The sequence below is a fragment of the Homo sapiens genome, chromosome 11 (genome assembly GCF_000001405.40).
Source record: "Homo sapiens chromosome 11, GRCh38.p14 Primary Assembly".
In the NCBI taxonomy this organism is placed as follows: domain Eukaryota; kingdom Metazoa; phylum Chordata; class Mammalia; order Primates; family Hominidae; genus Homo; species Homo sapiens.
In genome coordinates, this window is record NC_000011.10 from 19,575,498 (window position 1) to 19,594,155 (window position 18,658).

Consider the following 18,658-nt stretch of genomic DNA (forward strand, 5'->3'; position numbering starts at 1 on the left):
ATTCCTGCTCCACTCCACACCTTTGCCTGCCTTGTCTCTGTACCCGCAGGAGAAGCTCTACTCATTTTTCCAGACTGTGCTCAGATTCTACCCCCCTATGCAAGTACCTCCTCAGACACCCCTGGGGAAATTCACCTTTTCTTCCCCATTCTTCTAGTTTCTCTTTGCACATAAGCCCTTTAAGGCATTGGTCATCATCTATATTGTGTTGGGGAGACTGAGTTCCAACTAAAGTGGGAGCTCCCGATGGCCAGGGATCCATGTCGTTCATCTCTGCAGCTACAGGACCTAGCATGAGCTTTGGCATCTCATTCATTCAGCAAATGTGTATTGAAGGTCACTGTACCAGGCACTATGAGAGGTAAGGGAATCACAGCTGTGGACAAGGTGTGTTCCCTAGTTTTAAGTTGTAGCCCATTGTAACACAGAGGGCTGAGCAGATTACGGTGTGGACTCTAATAGATGCCCAGTTGAGCCTGGGTGGTTCAGGATGGCTTTTTTAAGTCATACAGAGTGAGGAATCTGAGGCTCAAAGGAGTGAAATAACTGGCCCAAGATCTCACATCTAGTGTATGGCAGAAAAAGTGCTCAAATCCAGGCCTAAGTGCCCTTTGCACACAGCCATTTGTGGAATGGGTCCTCCTCTGTCTACACTCTCCATTCCAAGCTAGCATACTCCTTTCTGATCCTCAGCCACAAAATAAACAGGTAAGGGATCAGACCCACTTGGCCAGAGACTGGGCAGCCTTGCCGCATTCTGATGCAAAAACCTGTTTTCAAGCTACTTCAAACTTTTGATGGTTCTTGAAGTCATAGAGAGGCTTTCAGCTGAATCCAAGGCAAGCGAACAGATTTCCCATCTGCAGGGTATTTTGAAACCACTCGCTTCTTACTCATGTTTCATTTGTTTGTTTTTCTATTACAAAAATAATGCATACTAATTGTAGAGAATTTGGGGAGAAATACAAATCACCCATAATTCCACCACCCAGAAATAACCATTGTTACTATTTTGGTATATTGAGATAGTTATTTGGGGATATTACTTAGAAATTGCTATAATATATAATTGCTGTTTATTAATTTATGCAAATACATGAATATGATTAACTTGTATATATTTAGCTTGTTGTAAAACTTACACATTCCGGTGCCTGGAAATTTCAAAGATCTGCTGCTCCCAAAGAGAGCTCTTAAACCTAATTCTGTATGGTCCTTTTCACGTGAATAACATATATCTGTTTCCCTCCCTGTCTTCTCTACCAGTCTGTGGGCTTCAGAAGGGAACCCTGAGCCTTTCTCATCATTCCCTCTTCAGTACACAGTGCATAGCAGACACACAGCATTGGATGGAATGGATGTGTCTGTGGCCTGGGAAGGTGTCCTGGGGTCCTTCCATCTGGCTGTCTTAGGCTGAGTGGTGCTGGTTATATATTTCTAAGGACAGCTCCCCCTTCTCTACTCTAATTCCTTGTTCACTAAGGAATTAAAGTATCTTACAGCAGGAATTTGTCTTTTACTTCAAGGAATCCCTGGGTTCCAGGAAGTGCCTTGCACAATGAAAGCCCTCAATCCATGTTTGTAAAAGCCTGAATGACCGGAATAATGCCACTGTTTGGTAAATAGTGTGCATGGATTATCACCACAGCCCTATGACGTGGGTCTAAGCATATCTTTATTTATCACATGAGGAAACTGAGGCTCAGAGAAGTTAAGCAGCTTGTCCAACGTCCGTGTGTTGCTAACTGGCGAAAGCCAAATGTGTGGTCAGCCTCCATCAGCGTTCTATTTGCTTCCTTCATGGGGCTGCTTTTCAGATACCTGTCCTCAGATACCCACCTGGCGAAGGAACCTGTTGGCTCGTGCCCCTTCACTTTTCTAAGGCTGGGTGAAATACCACAAGGGTAGGGCCGCTGACAGGGAAGATCTGCCACGAGGGCGCAGCCATCTGTGTGAGCCACCTGGCCTCTGGGCCCTGACCCCGGCTCCTCCTGGGCCCCCTAGATGCTCAGTGTAGCCACTTCTCCCTCTGTGTCCTTCACCACCTATCTTTTTCACAGCTCTGTTTCCCCTCTTGTCAGCAGATCTCTCAACAAAATGTTTTCCATCACTGCTGCCTATTTTTAGCCCTTTTATCACAGTTATTTCCTTTGGTAAATAGCTTCCTGGCATGGGGTGAGCAGCCTAACTCGGGAGCCAGCAAGCACTGTGTGGATGGGGGTGTGGGTTGGGTGGGCATCTGGGGTGAGAGGGAAGAATTGAGGAGCCATGGACCAGGCCCCACTATTGGGGGCTGCTTTCTGTTCCAATGGTGGCAGCAGCAGCAGGAGCAAGATGCTCATTCATTCCATTTCAATTTGTTAAAACCATTCTTTGAGAAGGCAGCATGTGCACAGGCCTCGGAAGCAGACAATCAGCGACAGGCGCCCAAAATAGACTCAAAATCAGCAGCATTTTGTTTTGCTCAAGGCTTTTCATGCCTGCAAGGGGAGGAAAGAAAGGATCCAGAGCATTTTCTGCTTCCAAACACACATCTATTTTACAATAAGACAAATGACTCGTATTCCTCCTATTAAATCCAGCAGCGTCCCCTCCCCACCACCCCTTCTCTGAAGCCCTCGCCAGCATTTCCTTTTGTGGCTGTAAGAGAAGCAAATAGCAGTTCATGCATCTCCAGTGCAGAGTGCCTCTGCCTCCTCCGGCTCTGCCTGCGAGCTGGGCTTTTACAAGCTGAGATTTTCATAAATTAACGCTGCGCGTGCTGCTGTAGCTGCTGTAATGGCTTTCCAGAAGGTGCTGTGAGCCAGGCCCTGCTGGAGAGAAATGAGCCAGTGATTTGCTAGTAGAAGGCTCTTGGCCACAGTCAGAGGTTAAGCCAGGCAGTTGCAGATGTCCTGGGCTGCTCTCTGAGTGCAGCCTGATGTCATTGAGCCTCTAGAAGGGACATCGACTTGGGAGATTCACTGGTGACCAAGGAGGCCACACATGCAGGGGGTGAGTCCCAGTGGGAGAATGGGATGCCTGGACTCCAGTTCTGGCCCTGCTCTGTGGTGACATTGTGACATTGTCCAGCCACCATGCCCTGGAGGTCAGTTCCTCCTAGTATACACTCTGAGTACACTAATACCTCCCATTTGTAGTACTTACAAAATGGGAATTTAACACTTATTTGTGCAATATGTTGACCATCTAGGTCAGGGGTCTGCATATTTTGGCTTGTGTGCCAAATCTGGCCATAGCATTGATTATACATTATCTATGGTTGTTTTTTGCACTACAGGGCAGGGTTGAGCAGTTGTCATGCAGAGCGGATGACCCTAAAGCCTAAAATATCTACCCTCTGGCTCTCGACAGGAAAGGTTTGCTACCTTTGGTCTAAGTGGTGAGTCCCAGGAGAGCAGAAACCCCTCTGAGAGGTTTAGGGACATGTTCACACACCCAAGATTACTCAGCTAGTAAGTGGCCTAGATGTAAATGTGTGTGTGTGTAAGTTTCAACATCCAGGACTATCAGGGAAGTGATCAGTGCAATGTGTACAAGTAGAGCCAGAATTTGACAAAAAAAGAAATCTCTCCCAAGAATAAAAGCCATATGATGTGTACGTAGGTGGGTAAGCTCAGTGCCTGACTTAATGTTTCTGAGCAAGGAGTCTATTCAGGCAGACTGTCCACCACTTCTGAGCCGTGTGGCCTTGGGAAAGTTTTTAACCTCTCTAAGCCTCAGCTGTCTCAATTGTCAAATGGATATAATAAGACTTATTTTGCAGGACTATTATGAGAATTCAGCATGATAATTTAAGTAAATGCTTAACATGGTTCCTGGCAAATATTAAGGATTCTCTCCCAGGCCTGGTTCCCTTCATTGGTTCCCACTGCTAGTGACAAGCCCTTCCTTGGTCTTCGTCTATCTGCCCTTCATAACACAGCTCAAGCAGCTGGACAGAGACGGAGAAAGGGCCCTGACAGTCATGGGTGGCAGCTGATTATAGAGGTTGAAGTGTTTTAGAATCACTAGACCTAAGTTCAAATCTTGACCCTACTACTCACTGAATCAGATCATCTTGAATATGTTGATTTACCTTTCCAAGCCTTGCTTTCCTCCTCTGGAAGATAGGAAGGAAATAGACACTTCGTTGTAAGGCAATAAGAAAGAGTAAATGCAATGATATGTGTTAGGTATTTAGAGCAGAACCTGGAATTCAGTAAGTGTACATAGTAAGCACCCAATAAATGTTAGTTGTTATTCCCCTCCTACATGACCTGGTCTAGGTAGATTCTAGCTTTTCTGGAATTCTCATGGGAATGATTGGCTTTGAGCATCTCTAGGCCCCTCTTGGACACCACCTTGGAGACAAGAGGCTCTGAGAAGGCCTCTGTCCTGTCTCACTTAAGTGGAAAGTACTATAAAACCCAGAGGCCCAGCACGTTAAACCAGCCCAGCTATGATCCTGGCATGGGGACCAAACAGTCTTTGAAAATATGTGTTTTCCTAGATAAAACCTCCAATTGGACAATTGTATCTTTTGGCCTTATGCAGACTTTATGACTTTGAAAGCTGTTAAACGGAAAGCTCTATGAATGGGATATATTTATTTCTGTGGCACTCTGACTGGTGCTGTTGACCCAACCGGGGGGTGGGGCTTCCAGGGCTCGCTAATTTCTCTTTGCCAGGTGGCTGTTACTGTGCCTGTACCCTCGGAGAGCCACAGCCAGTTGTCACCGAAACCCAGATGAAGGGCTTCTGGCTGCCTAAAAGATTGTCCTGTAGCCAGATTGATTTCCCAGGAAAAGAACATGGTGCTTGGGAATTTCTCTGGGAAGTATCACATTTTTCTTTCTTTTTTTTTTAATTTATGAAGAAGACATTTATATTTTACAGTTATGGGGGCTGAGAAGTCCAAGATCAAGGGGCCCCATTTGGACTCTATGAAAAGTCCAAAGGTAGCTCAAGGCATTACATGGGGAGGGCCTGAGTGTGCTTGCTCAGGTCTCTCTTCCTCTTCTTGCAAAGCACCAGTCCCACTCCCATGATAACCCATTAATCCATGAATCTCTCAATACTGCCACATTGGGGGTTAAATTTCAACATGAGTTTTGCAGGGAATGAATATTCAAACCATAGCAGCTACCATTTATTGAGTGTTTATTGTGTACCAGGCACTATCTTAGGCAATTTGATTTATTTTCTTGTCAGTCAGCATTTCAGCTGTTTCCACTTTTTTGCTATTATGGGGAGTACCGCATAGACCTTCTTGAACATTGTCTTCATGGGCATGTGAACAAGATTTTCTCTTGGGAACACACTTAGGAGTAAAACTGCTGAGTAGAAGGTATGTGAATGTTCAACTTTACCAGCAATGCAAAATTATTTTTCAAAGTGACTGTAATAATTTATCCTCCCACAAGAATGTGTAAGCCTACTTATAGGATACTCATCCTATCCTACATTTGGTTCTTATTTTTCCTAAGCTGATGAATACAAAATAGCATTTTGGCTGGATGTGTATTTCTCTGATTACTAACAAGGTGGATAATCTCTTCTTATATTAATTGGCCACATGTGTCTCCTTTTCTGTGAGATGTCTGTTCATGTCTTTTACCCAGTTTCCCATTGAATTGTTTGCTTTATCTTGTCGATTTGTAGGAGTTCCTTATATTTTGTATACTAATCTGTAGGTTGTTATATAATTGCAAGTATCTTCTTCCTGCATGTGACTTGGTTTTTTTACTTTCTTTAAAGTATTCTTAGCATAAGTTCTTGGTTTTAATGGCGTTGACTTATCAATCTCCTCTTTAACGATTAGCACTCTTTGTATCTTGTTTAACAAATTTCTCTGAATCTCCTTTAATTTCTTTTGAAAGTTTAAATTTAAGGTTTTTTTTATTATTATACTTTAAGTTTTAGGGTACATGAGCACAACGTGCAGGTTTGTTACATATGTATACATGTGCCATGTTGGTGTGCTGCACCCGTTAACTCGTCATTTAACATTAGGTACATCTAATGCTATCCCTCCCCTCTCCCCCACCCCACAACAGGCCCCAGTGTGTGATGTTCCCCTTCCTGTGTCCATGTGTCTCATTGTTCAATTCCCACCTATGAGTGAGAACATGCGGTATTTGGTTTTTTGTCCTTGTGATAGTTTGCTGAGAATGATGGTTTCCAGCTTCATCCATGTCCCTACAAAGGACATGAACTCATCCTTTTTTATGGCTGCATAGTATTCCATGGTGTATATGTGCCACATTTTCTTAATCCAGTCTATCATCGTTGGACATTTGGGTTGGTTCCAAGTCTTTGCTATTGTGAATAGTGCTGCAATAAACATGGTGTGCATGTGTCTTTATAGCAGCATGTTTTATAATCCTTTGGGTATATACCCAGTAATGGGATGGCTGGGTCAAATGGTATTTCTAGTTCTAGATCCATGAGGAATTGCCACACTGACTTCCACAATGGTTGAACTAGTTTACAGTCCCACCAACAGTGTAAAATTGTTCCTATTTCTCCACATCCTCTCCAGCTCCTGTTGTTTCCTGACTTTTTAATGATTGCCATTCTAACTGGTATGAGATGGTATCTCATTGTGGTTTTGATTTGCATTTCTCTGATGGCCAGTTATGATGAGCATTTTTTCATGTGTTTTTTGGCTGCATAAATGTCTTCTTTTGAGAAGTGTCTGTTCATATCCTTCGCCCACTTGTTGATGGGGTTGTTTGTTTTTTTCTTGTAAATCTGTTGGAGTTCATTGTAGATTCTGGATATTAGCCCTTGGTCAGATGAGTAGATCGCAACAATTTTCTCCCATTCTGTAGGTTGCCTGTTCACTCTGATGGTAGTTTCTTTTGCTGTGCAGAAGCTCTTTAGTTTAATTAGATCCCATTTGTCAATTTTGTCTTTTGTTGCCATTGCTTTTGGTGTTTTAGACATGAAGTCCTTGCCCATGCTTATGTCCTGAATGGTATTGCCTAGGTTTTCTTCTAGGGTTTTTATGGTTTTAGGCCTAACATTTAAGTCTTTAATCCATCTTGAATTAATTTTTGTATAAGGTGTAAGGAAGGGATCCAGTTTCAGCTTTCTGCATATGGCTAGCCAGTTTTCCCAGCACCATTTATTAAATAGGGAATCCTTTTGCCATTTCTAGTTTTTTTCAGGTTTGTCAAAGATCAGATAGTTGTAGATATGTGGCATTATTTCTGAGGGCTCTGTTCTGTTCCATTGGTCTATATCTCTGTTTTGGTACCAGTACCATGCTGTTTTGGTTACTGTAGCCTTGTAGTATAGTTTGAAGTCAGGTAGTGTGATGTCTCCAGCTTTGTTCTTTTGGCTTAGGATTGACTTAGGATTGACTTGGCAATGCGGGCTCTTTTTTGGTTCCATATGAACTTTAAAGTAGTTTTTTCCAATTCTGTGAAGAAAGTCATTGATAGCTTGATGGAGATGGCATTGAATCTATAAATTACCTTAGGCAGTATGGCCATTTTCACGATATTGATTCTTCCTAACCATGAGCATGAAATGTTCTTCCATTTGTGTGTATCCTCTTTTATTTCATTGAGCAGTGGTTTGTAGTTCTCCTTGAAGAGGTCCTTCACATCCCTTGTAAGTTAGATTCCTAGGTATTTTGTTCTCTTTGAAGCAATTGTGAATAGGAGTTCACTCATGATTTTGCTCTCTGTTTCTCTGTTATTGGTGTATAAGAATGCTTGTGATTTTTGCACATTGATTTTGTATCCTGAGACTTTGCTGAAGTTGCTTATCAGCTTAAGGAGATTTTGGGCTGAGACGATGGGGTTTTCTAGATATACAATCATGTCATCTTCAAACAGGGACAATATGACTTCCTCTTTTCCTAATTGAATACCCTTTATTTCCTTCTCCTGCCTGATTGCCCTGGCCAGAACTTCCAACACTATGTTGAATAGGAGTGGTGAGAGAGGGCATCCCTGTCTTGTGCCAGTTTTCAAAGGGAATGCTTCCAGTTTTTGCCCATTCAGTGTGATATTGGCTGTGGGTTTGTCATAGATAGCTCTTATTATTTTGAGACATGTCCCATCAATACCTAATTTATTGAGAGTTTTTAGCATGAAGAGTTGTTGAATTTTGTTGAAGGCCTTTTCTGCATCTATTGAGATAATCATGTGGTTTTTGTCGTTGGTTCTGTTTATATGCTGGATTACGTTTATTGATTTGCGTATGTGGAACCAGCCTTGCATCCCAGGGATGAAGCCCACTTGATCGTGGTGGATAACTTTTTGATGTGCTGCTGGATTCGGTTTGCCAGTATTTTACTGAGGATTTTTGCATCAATGTTCATCAGGGATATTGGTCTAAAATTCTCTTTTTTTGTTGTGTCTCTGCCAGGCTTTGGTATCAGGATGATGCTGGCCTCACAAAATGAGTTAGGGAGGATTCCCTCTTTTTCTGTTGATTGGAATAGTTTCAAAAGAAATGGTACCAGCTCCTCCTTGTACCTCTGGTAGAATTCGGCTGTGAATCCGTCTGGTCCTGGACTTTTTTTTGGTTGGTAAGCTAGTAATTATTGCCTCAATTTCAGAGCCTGTTATTGGTCTATTCAGAGATTCAACTTCTTCCTGGTTTAGTCTTAGGAGAGTGTATGTATTGAGGAATTTATCCATTTCTTCCAGATTTTCTAGTTTATTTGCATAGAGGTGTTCATAATATTCTCTGATGGTTTTTTGTATTTCTGTGGGATCGGTGGTGATATTCCCTTTATCATTTTTTATTGGGTCTATTCGATTCTTCTCTCTTTTCTTCTTTATTAGTCTTGCTAGCGGTCTATCGATTTTATTGATCTTTGCAAAAAACCAGCTCCTGGATTCATTGATTTTTTGAAGGGTCTTTTGTGTCTCTATTTCCTTCAGTTCTGCTTTGATTTTAGTTATTTCTTGCCTTCTGCTAGCTTTTGAATGTGTTTGCTCTTGCTTCTCTAGTTCTTTTCATTTTGATGTTAGGTTGTCAATTTTAGATCTTTCCTGTTTTCTCTTGTGGGCATTTAGTGCTATAAATTTCCCTCTACATGCTGCTTTGAATGTGTCCCAGAGATTCTGGTATGTTGTGTCTTTGTTCTCATTGGTTTCAAAGAACATCTTTATTTCTGCCTTCATTTCGTTATGTACCCAGTAGTCGTTCAGGAGCAGGTTGTTCAGTTTCCATGTAGTTGAGCAGTTTTGAGTGATTTTCTTAATCTTGAGTTCTAGTTTGATTGCACTGTGGTCTGAGAGACAGTTTGTTATAATTTCTGTTCTTTTACATTTGCTGAGGAGTGCTTTACTTCCAACTATGTGGTCAATTTTGGAATAGGTGTGATGTGGTGCTGAAAAGAATGTATATTCTGTTGATTTGGGGTGGAGAGTTCTGTAGATGTCTATTGGGTCCGCTTGGTGCAGAGCTGAGTTCAATTCCTGGATATCCTTTTTAACTTTCTGTCTCATCGATCTGTCTAATGTTGACAGTGGGGTGTTAAAGTCTCCCATTATTATTGTGTGGGAGTCTAAGTCTCTTTGTAGGTCTCTAAGGACTTGCTTCATGAATCTGGGTGCTCCTATATTGGGTGCGTATATATTTAGGATAGTTAGCTCTTCTTGTTGAATTGATCCCTTTACCATTATGTAATGGCCTTCTTTGTCTCTTTTGATCTTTGTTGGTTTAAAGTCTGTTTTATCAGAGACTAGGATTGCAACCCCTGCCTTTTTTTCTTTTCCATTTGCTTGGTAGATCTTCCTCCATCCCTTTGTTTTGAGCCTATGTGTGTCTCTACCCGTGAGATGGGTTTCCTGAATACAGCACACTGATGGGTCTTGACTCTTTATCCAATTTGCCAGTCTCTGTCTTTTAATTGGAGCATTTAGCCCATTTACATTTAAGTTAATATTGTTGTGTGTGAATTTGATCCTGTCATTATGATATTAGCTGGTTATTTTGCTCCTTAGTGGATGCAGTTTCTTCCTAGCCTTGATGGTCTTTACAATTTGGCGTGTTTTTGCAGTGGCTGGTACCGGTTGTTCCTTTCCATGTTTAGTGCTTCCTTCAGGAGCTCTTTTAGGGCAGGCCTGGTGGTGACAAAATCTCTCAACATTTGCTTGTCTGTAAAGGATTTTATTTCTCCTTCACTTATGAAGCTTAGTTTGGTTGGATATGAAATTCTGGGTTGAAAATTCTTTTCTTTAAGAATGTTGAATAATTGGCCCCCACTTTCTTCTTGCTTGTAGAGTTTCTACTAAGAGATCCGCTGTTAGTCTGATGGGCTTCCCTTTGTGGGTAACCCAACCTTTCTCTCTGGCTGCCCGTAACATTTTTTCTTTCATTTCAACTTTGGTGAACCTGACAATTATGTGTCTTGGGGTTGTTCTTCTCGAGGAGTATGTTTGTGGCATTCTCTGTATTTCCTGAATTTGAATATTGGCCTGCCTTGCTAGATTGGGGAAGTTCTCCTGGATAATATCCTGCAGAGTGTTTTCCAACTTTGTTCCATTCTCTCCGTCAGTTTCAGGTACACCAATCAGATGTAGATTTGGTGTTTTCACATAGTCCCATATTTGTTGGAGGCTTTATTCGTTTCTTCTTATTCTTTTTTCTCTAAACTTCTCTTCTCACTTCATTTCATTCATTTATCTTCCATCACTGATACCCTTTCTTCCAGTTGATTGAATCAGCTACTGCGGCTTGTGCATTCGTCGCATAGTTCTTGTGCCATGGTTTTCAGCTCCATGAGGTCCTTTAAGGACTTTTCTGCATTGGTTATTCTAGTTAGCCATTTTTCTAATTTTTTTTCAAGGTTTTTAACTTCTTTGCCATGGGTTCGAACTTCCTCCTTTAGCTCAGAGTAGTTTGATCGTCTGAAGCCTTCTTTTCTCAACTCATCAAAGTCATTCTCCGTCCAGCTTTGTTCCGTTGCTGGTGAGGAGCTGCGTTCCTTTGTAGGAGGAGAGGTGCTCTGATTTTTAGAGTTTCCAGTTTTTCTGCTCTGTTTTTTCCCCATCTTTGTGGTTTTATCTACCTTTGGTCTTTGATGATGGTGACGTACATATGGGGTTTTGTTGTGGATGTCCTTTCTGTTTGTTAGTTTTCCTTCTAACAGTCAGGACCCTCAGCTGCAGGTCTGTTGGAGTTTGCTGGAGGTCCACTCCAGACCCTGTTTGCCTGGGTATCAGCAGCAGAGGCTGCAGAACAGCGAATATTGCAGAACAGCAAATGTTGCTGCCTGATCGTTCCTCTGGAAGTTTTGTCTCAGAGGAGTACGCAGCCGTGTAAGGGTCAGTCTGCCCCTACTGGGGGGTGCCTCCCAGTTAGGCTACTTGGGGGTCAGGGACCCACTTGAGGAGGCAGTCTGTCTGTTCTCAGATCTCCAGCTGCGTGCTGTGGGAACCACTACTCTCTTCAAAGCTGTCAGTCGGGGACATTTAAGTCTGCAGAGGTTTCTGCTGCCTTTTGTTTGGCTATGCCCTGCCCCCAGAGGTGGAGTCTACAGAGGCAGGCAGGCCTCCTTGAGCTGAGGTGGGCTCCACCCAGTTCGAGCTTCACGGCCGCTTTGTTTACCTACTCAAGCCTCAGCAATGGTGGACACCCCTCCCCCAGCCTTGCTGCCGCCTTGCAGTTTGATCTCAGATTGCTGTGCTAGCAATGAGCAAGGCTCTGTGGGCATAGGACCCTCCGAGCCAGGTGCAGGATATAATTTCTTGGTGTGCCGTTTGCTAAGACCATTGGAAAAGCACAGTATTAGGGTGGGAGTGACCCAGTTTTCCAGGTGCTGCCTGTCACCCCTTTCTTTGACTAGGAAAGGGAATTCCCTGACCCCTTGCACATCCCGGGTGAGGCGATGCCTTGCCCTGCTTCAGCTCACGCTCAGTGAGCTGCCCCACTGTCCTGTACCCAGTGTCTGACACTCCTCAGTGAGATGAACCTGGTACTTCAGTTGGAAACGCAGAAATCACCCATCTTCTGCGTCGCTCATGCTAGGAACTGTAGACTGGAGCTGTTCCTATTCAGCCACCTTGGCTCCCAGCTCCACATTTTTCTCTAAAAGATTGAGAGTTCATTTTATCAGGGCTTTTTGGTCCTCATAGAAAACTCTTATGGTCTGGGTTGAAAGCATCTGACTTCAAGGGTTAATTCATGGCTGATGAACATTTTCTTTGGGTACCCAATCCCAAGAGCTCTTCTGAAAGTAAGCAATGGAGCTACAAAGACATTTCCAGACCAAAGTCACAATGAGACTGACTGCACACAGAAAATATGTTAATTAGGATAACACAAGCTTCTATAACAAGAAGGTACCACAATGTATAAAGGCACCAACACAATAGAAATTTAGTTCTCATCCACATTTTAGTCCAAGGCTAACATTTCTAGCCAGTGGATAGCTCTTCTCCACCCAATGATTCAGGAATCCAGCCTTGAGGCCATAAAAAATTAAATGTGATATGCAAATAGAGTGCCATTGGGTCTAGTACCTGGTCAACCATGAGGGCTGTCACCATCTTTGTCTGCAAATCTCTTGCCCTTAGATCAGTGTCTAGCATGTAATAGGTGCTCAGTAAATGTTTGTGAAAGAAATGAATGAATGATTATCCTACTAGTTCTATTCCTTTCTTCCCTGACTTGGGTCACCTGACAGAAAAGCCAAATTCCTGGTCAACTATTTCGGGCCAGTTCAAAGGTACATCTGTTGACCCCAGAGTCCACTGGTTAGTCAAATGTTCCTCCTCCTGCTCCCACAAAATCCTGAATTAGTTACTCATCCATTTTACAAATTGATTTCATTACAGAGAAATTTAAAATTATATAAATTTGGGAGTATCCAAAACAATCTGGTGTATGGATATTTTACCCAAGGATCTCTGATTAGAGTTTCCCTTAGAGGGCATCTAGGCCCATAGCTGCAAAAATGACCCAGCTTGTGAGCCAACCCACTTGACAGTGGCTTCCTGAAGATGAATTCTGACGGCAAGCATGCTGTGATTGATTAGTAATGTCTGCCATAGGCAGAGAAAAGGAAGATGATAAACAAAGTCCTGTGTAACCTGCTAGACCCTATCAAGTCTAAGATCCTCATATTTATAGGGCTGAGGTTCAAACAGAAGAAGTGGTACACAACTACCATTGGAGACATAGGTTGGAGGGCCTAGAAGATCACTGGAGGCAGAATGAAAAAGGATAGAAAATGGTGGAAGACCTGCTGGAAAATTCTCTTAGAAATAAAGAATTTAAGAGAGCTAACTGCTAGGAACAAGCCAACAATGGTAGCTATCTCTAAGAAAAAAGAAAGGAGTCAGAGCATGGGGTGTGATGTGGTTTGGAATCTTGCTGGGCTTGGTCAGCCTCATTTGTGCCAGGTTAGAGGGGGAAAAAGAAGCCTGCTGTCCTTGCCCATGTTTCTTTCTGCATATCATAAGGTAGTTTCATGAACTCAATGGGCAATTGGTAGATGGCTGGGGTTCTCCTAGGCCTCTGGGATGCCTCCCATGGAGATCTGGGCACAGAGGGCACCGTCCAGCCCCTGAGCACCATGACTCACCATACCTGGTCCTTCCTCTGTGCCTCCTCTGTGCTGGTTCCTGGGTGTCCAGAGACATTGAATCACGGCCCTCAACCCAGGTGAGCTCACAGTCTAGAGGGAGACAGAGAAGTCCTGTATTTCTTGGATCCTAAGATGATATGGTTACAAAACAGTTTATCAATTTAATGACAGAATTTCAGGAAGACAAAAAAACAAACAAAAAACCAACCAACCAATCAAACGAACAAACAAAAAAAACCTCCCAGCTTAACCAGAGGCAGATTGTAGGAGCTATCCTGACTTTACCAAAGGAAAAATGGGACCACCTGCATGATTTTTAATCAAGGAAATAAATTCAATCAGTGGTTACAATTCGGAGTGATCTGTGCTGTGATGTGGAGAGTGCTGGGGAAGGTGTGGTTGATTCTGCCTTGGAAGGGAGGTCAGGAAGGTCAGGGCCCTGGAAAAAGGACATTTGAGGAGGAGTACGCCAGGCTGACAAAGCGGGAAAGGGATTCCCAGCAGTGGGAATGGCATGGTCAAAGGAACAGGGCATATCCATATCCACAATAGCAAGAGCATGTGTAGGTGAGCCTGGATAGACAGCATGCAAATGGTGAAGGGCCTCTATGTATCTAGAGCAGCAGGTGGGAAGTGAGGCTCCAGCCAAGAGAGAGCCACAGCCCCTTTCAGAATGGGGGCCTAGAAGCCGATCAGCCATCACAGCTCCATCTCCTTCAGCTGCTCCCAGCGTGGGAGCACAGATGCTTGGTAACCAAGGGATGGTCTATTTAAAGCCACCTGTAAGTTGGTTCCAGAAGGCACACTGTAGGGTAGAGAAGGAGAGAGGGAAGGGGAATGTCAGGAGGAAGAAGCATCCAAGAGGGCACAGGAGGCGGGATTCCAGCCTAGGCTCAGCCCTGAGCTCACCGTGGGGCCTGGGGCAAGTTCCTGCCTCTCTCTGTGCCTCAACTTCCTCAGTCTTGTGTAGTGGTGAATTGTGTAGGCTCAGGAACCAGCTGTGTGGGTCCCAGGCTAGGCTTCCTCGCTTGTGATCTGCGAGCATTGGTCAAATTACTTAACCACTGTGCCGACGTTTTCTCCTCTGTAAAACTGAGATAATAATAGTACCTAGCTTTTAGAGCTGCTGCGAGGATTAGATGAGGTAATGCATGTAAAGCATTTATAACGGTTCCTGGCACACACTAAACACTCAAAATCAGCTATTTTTAAAATTATGATACGATGATGGTGTTGGACTAGCTTAGGGGGTTTTAAACCTTAAACCTTGGAATCTTTCTCCTAACAGATTTGGAACTTCAGTGGGTGAAAAAGGTCACATTGAGCTCTTCTGGCTGGAAGGTGGAGACCCTGAGCCTTGCCACTTTAGCATCCCCCTTACCCAGGACTGCCTCCCAGCTCCCCGCACCCCAGGCACCTCTGCAGAACCTTTAAGCTCCAGGAAACCCAGATTAAAAGCAATTGTCCCAGAGGATCTCTGAGGTCCTTTTCGGTTGCTCCTTTTAATCCAATTCTTGCTTCAGAAGCTTGAGTTTATATCTGGAAAAGCTGTCTTTTACAGCTCAAAATCCATTTTCCAAAAGCATCAACTGAGCCAGGCCCTGGGGGACAGTGTGGTAAAGGCAAACCAGGGCAGATATGGAGAAGTGAGGAAGGTATTTGAGCAACAATCCTGACTGCAAAAGCTCACAAACAACCAAATACCACCATTATGGTTTTTTCTTTAAGTCAATACATTTTTATTTAAGGAATTTTACATGTTGTCATTCGTTCCACTGCCCATCAGGGTCATCTTAGTTCCTCCAAATCTTGAGTCAAGATTTATCTTCAAGATAGGCCTTTCTAGAGATTCATGCTGAATCCACAGTCCTTCTGTCCATCTTAGTTGGGCTTCTTTTGTCTCCACTTCAATACAGACATACTGATGAAATACTTTAAAAACTTCCTATACAGAATCTTTAGGGTCTAATTCTTCAAATAATTCACTTTAGGGCCCTAGCAGTTGAATTGTAGAAAGCATATTGTTATTTTGGCTAATGAGCAAAAATGCATTATTCTTTAATATTTTTCTAATGTTGAGGTTGTGTTGCATCCCATTTTCACTCGTGACCTTAGCAGAAATGTTACAGGTCTCATTGTCACCACTGCGATGTGTTTGCTGTGAATGGAAACATAGCTTGTTTCTCAATGCAGCCCCATTAACAATCTCTGGATCGCATGATCAACAGTGCCTATTCTCTTTGAGAATGGGGCATCACCTTCACAGTTCTTAGGATAAGCTATGCATATGTGACTGCCTTCATTTGTCACGGTCCAGGATAGTTTCTCATTCTTTTTTGTCTAGATGGTCAGGCACTGTCATTGCCCTTTGTGCAGTGTGCCATGGTTGTCTCTTCTCTACTTAGGAACAGTCTTATTTCCTCACCTCTAACCTGAGAATAGCAGATGACCAACAAATCAATATTGGATCTATCAAAGGGATCTGAATATGGGCACCTCTATGTGAACTGCTTCAAGCTGGATTCAGTGATGTCCCAAACAGATGTAGATCCTGACCATGCGGATGTTATTGTCTAGGGGGAAAGATCAATTAGTGTAAGTGTGATAGGGATCAGGACTTGAAAGATAAAATTCCACGGTCCAGAACAACCATTGTGGGACCCTATAACCCACAAAAAGTAGGGGTTTGCCTTCAGTATCTGCTAGGGCTTAGCCTTGGGAGGACCTTGAGAAACTTTATCTTGAGGTCCTGAAATGGAAGATCTCTTTGCTTCCTGGGACCCCAAGACCCACAGCAGAGTTCTGCCTGGCTTTTCAGCATATACAGATGGCTGGCTGCTTGTTGTGGACGCTGTCATAATTGCACATGCACTTTAGACATTGGCCATTCAGCTTCCAAGGCAGGCTATGGAGGCCACAATGAGCAAAAGCTAAGGAGACAAGCCCCATCTACAGTTAAGTCCTGACCCCTATCACACTTATTGATCTTCCCTCCCAGAATAACATCTGCATGGCCAGCATCCACGTACGTTTGGATCATCATTGAATCTAGCTTGAAGCAGGCCACATAGAGGCACCCATATTCATCCCTTTGATTGATTCAATATTGATTTGTTGCTCATTCAGCGCCTATCTTCATTGACTATCCTCTGCTTGTCCTTCATCTGCATCTTCCTCTGGTCACATACCAGCTGCTTCAGCCACCTTGGGCTTGTTACTGTTGTTTAAGCACTCCCACCGCTTAATGATCAGGTTCTCTCTGCCTGGAATACCCTTTCCTGCATCACTGCCTTCTTTCCACACCTACTAATCTACTCAATCCTCAAAACAATTCCAAATGCCACCTCTTCTAGGAAGCCTTCCTAGATCACCTCAGAATTTTTTATTCCTCCATTTCCTGTCCTCCCATAGATCAGTATGTGACATTCCACTTGAATTTGAATTATATTTTTGTCATTGCCCCCACTATGTTATAAAGCTTGATGTGGGCAAAGATTTTTATCTTACTGGTCTTCATAGTTGAATGTTTGGGGGAAGTCCATGAACTTGGGCTTTTTAATTCCTAGGTCTCTCTGGGTAAGCAAACTTAGACAAGTTATCTAATATGTCTGAGTTTCCCTATTCCCACCTGTAAAATAGGGATTTTTAAAAACTTGTGATAACAAGTTTATTGTTAGCATTAACTAAGATGACTTGTATGAAGTAACAATGAAAATAAAATAATAGTAATGAGAGCTGATATTGACTAAGTGCTCATTTAGGCACTGCTCTAAGCTTTTTACAAGTAGTTCATTTAAAACATTTTTAAAAATGTTGAAATAATGATAGATTTGCAGGAAGTTGCAAAGATGGTACTGAGAGATCCCATGTAAAGATAGAACTGAGAGGTCCCTTTCACCTGGTTTTCTCCAATGTTTACACATTATGTAATTATAGTACAGTTTCAGAACCAGGCAATTGACTGTGTGAGTATTGTTCTGTGTCCTTTTCTCACTTGTGTAAAATTGTGAGAATCTTACACAATCACCACCGCAATCAAGATACAGAACTCTCCCCTGTCCACAAAGATCTCCCTTGTGCAGCCCCTTCAGAGTCATACCCACCCCTCTCCCTTCCGCCACCCCCAGCCCCTGGCAACCAACCATTAGTATGTTTTCTATCTGCAAAATGTTGTCATTTCAACAATGTTATCTAAGTAGAATGGCAAAGTATGTGACCTTTTAAGCTTGGCTTTTGTTTTTTTCCCACTCAGCATAATGTCTTTGAGATCCATTCAGGTTGTCTGTCTATAGTTCATTCCTCTGTTCCTGGTGAGTTCTGTTCCATGGATATGCCACCAATATACCACTGATACACACCGATATACCACTGATACATGACTGACTGACAGACCATGGTTTAACCAGGAAAAGTATCTGGGTTGTTTCCAGTTTTTGGCTTTGACGTATAAAGCAGCTATAAATATTTGTGTATAGATTTTTATTTCAAATATAAGTCTTCATCTCACAGGGATAAATGCTTGGGGGTGCCATTGTTGAGTTACATGGTTAGTATATGTTTAGTGTTTTAGGAAGGAAGTCAAACTCTTTCCGAGAGTGGCTGTACCATTTTACATTCCCACCAGCAATGTGTGAGTGATTCAGTGTCTCTACATCTTTGCTGGAATTTGGTGTTGCCACTATTTTAATTTTATCTGCTCTAAAAGGTATGTAGTGACACCTTTCATGGTCTGACTTTCCATCTCCCTAATAGCTGGTGATGTTGAACATTTTTTCACTGCTTATTTGCCATCTGTATATTCTTTTCAGTAAACTGTCTCTACATGTCATTTACCCATCTTCTGGTTGGATTGTTTGTTTTTTAATGTGGAGTTTTGAGTATTCTTTATATATGCTAGATATGGGTCCTTTGCCAGCTATGGGATTTGCACAATTAGCTCAGTTAATCCTCACGACAACTCATGAAGAAGATACTAGGATTATCCCAATTTAATAGATGAGGAAGTTAGGGCACTGAGAGGTTAGCACTCTGTGTGGCACACAGCAGGTTTCCAGGGAAACATCACAGTGAATTTCATGCAGATGGAGCTCAGACCAAAGGTACAGTAGCTCTAGGTAC

At 42.9% G+C, this 18,658-nt stretch overlaps 1 protein-coding gene and 1 non-coding gene across 12 annotated transcripts in view; one reads left to right on the forward strand and one right to left on the reverse strand.

Moving 5' to 3' along the window:
- The window catches only part of NAV2 (neuron navigator 2), a 776,366-nt gene that overhangs the window by 230,262 nt on the left and 527,446 nt on the right, over positions 1 to 18,658 (forward strand). The window lies entirely within an intron of this gene.
- On the reverse strand, positions 15,659 to 15,794 carry LOC124900310 (small nucleolar RNA SNORA1). The gene has a single exon (XR_007063004.1). It is a non-coding gene; the product is annotated as a small nucleolar RNA SNORA1 (small nucleolar RNA).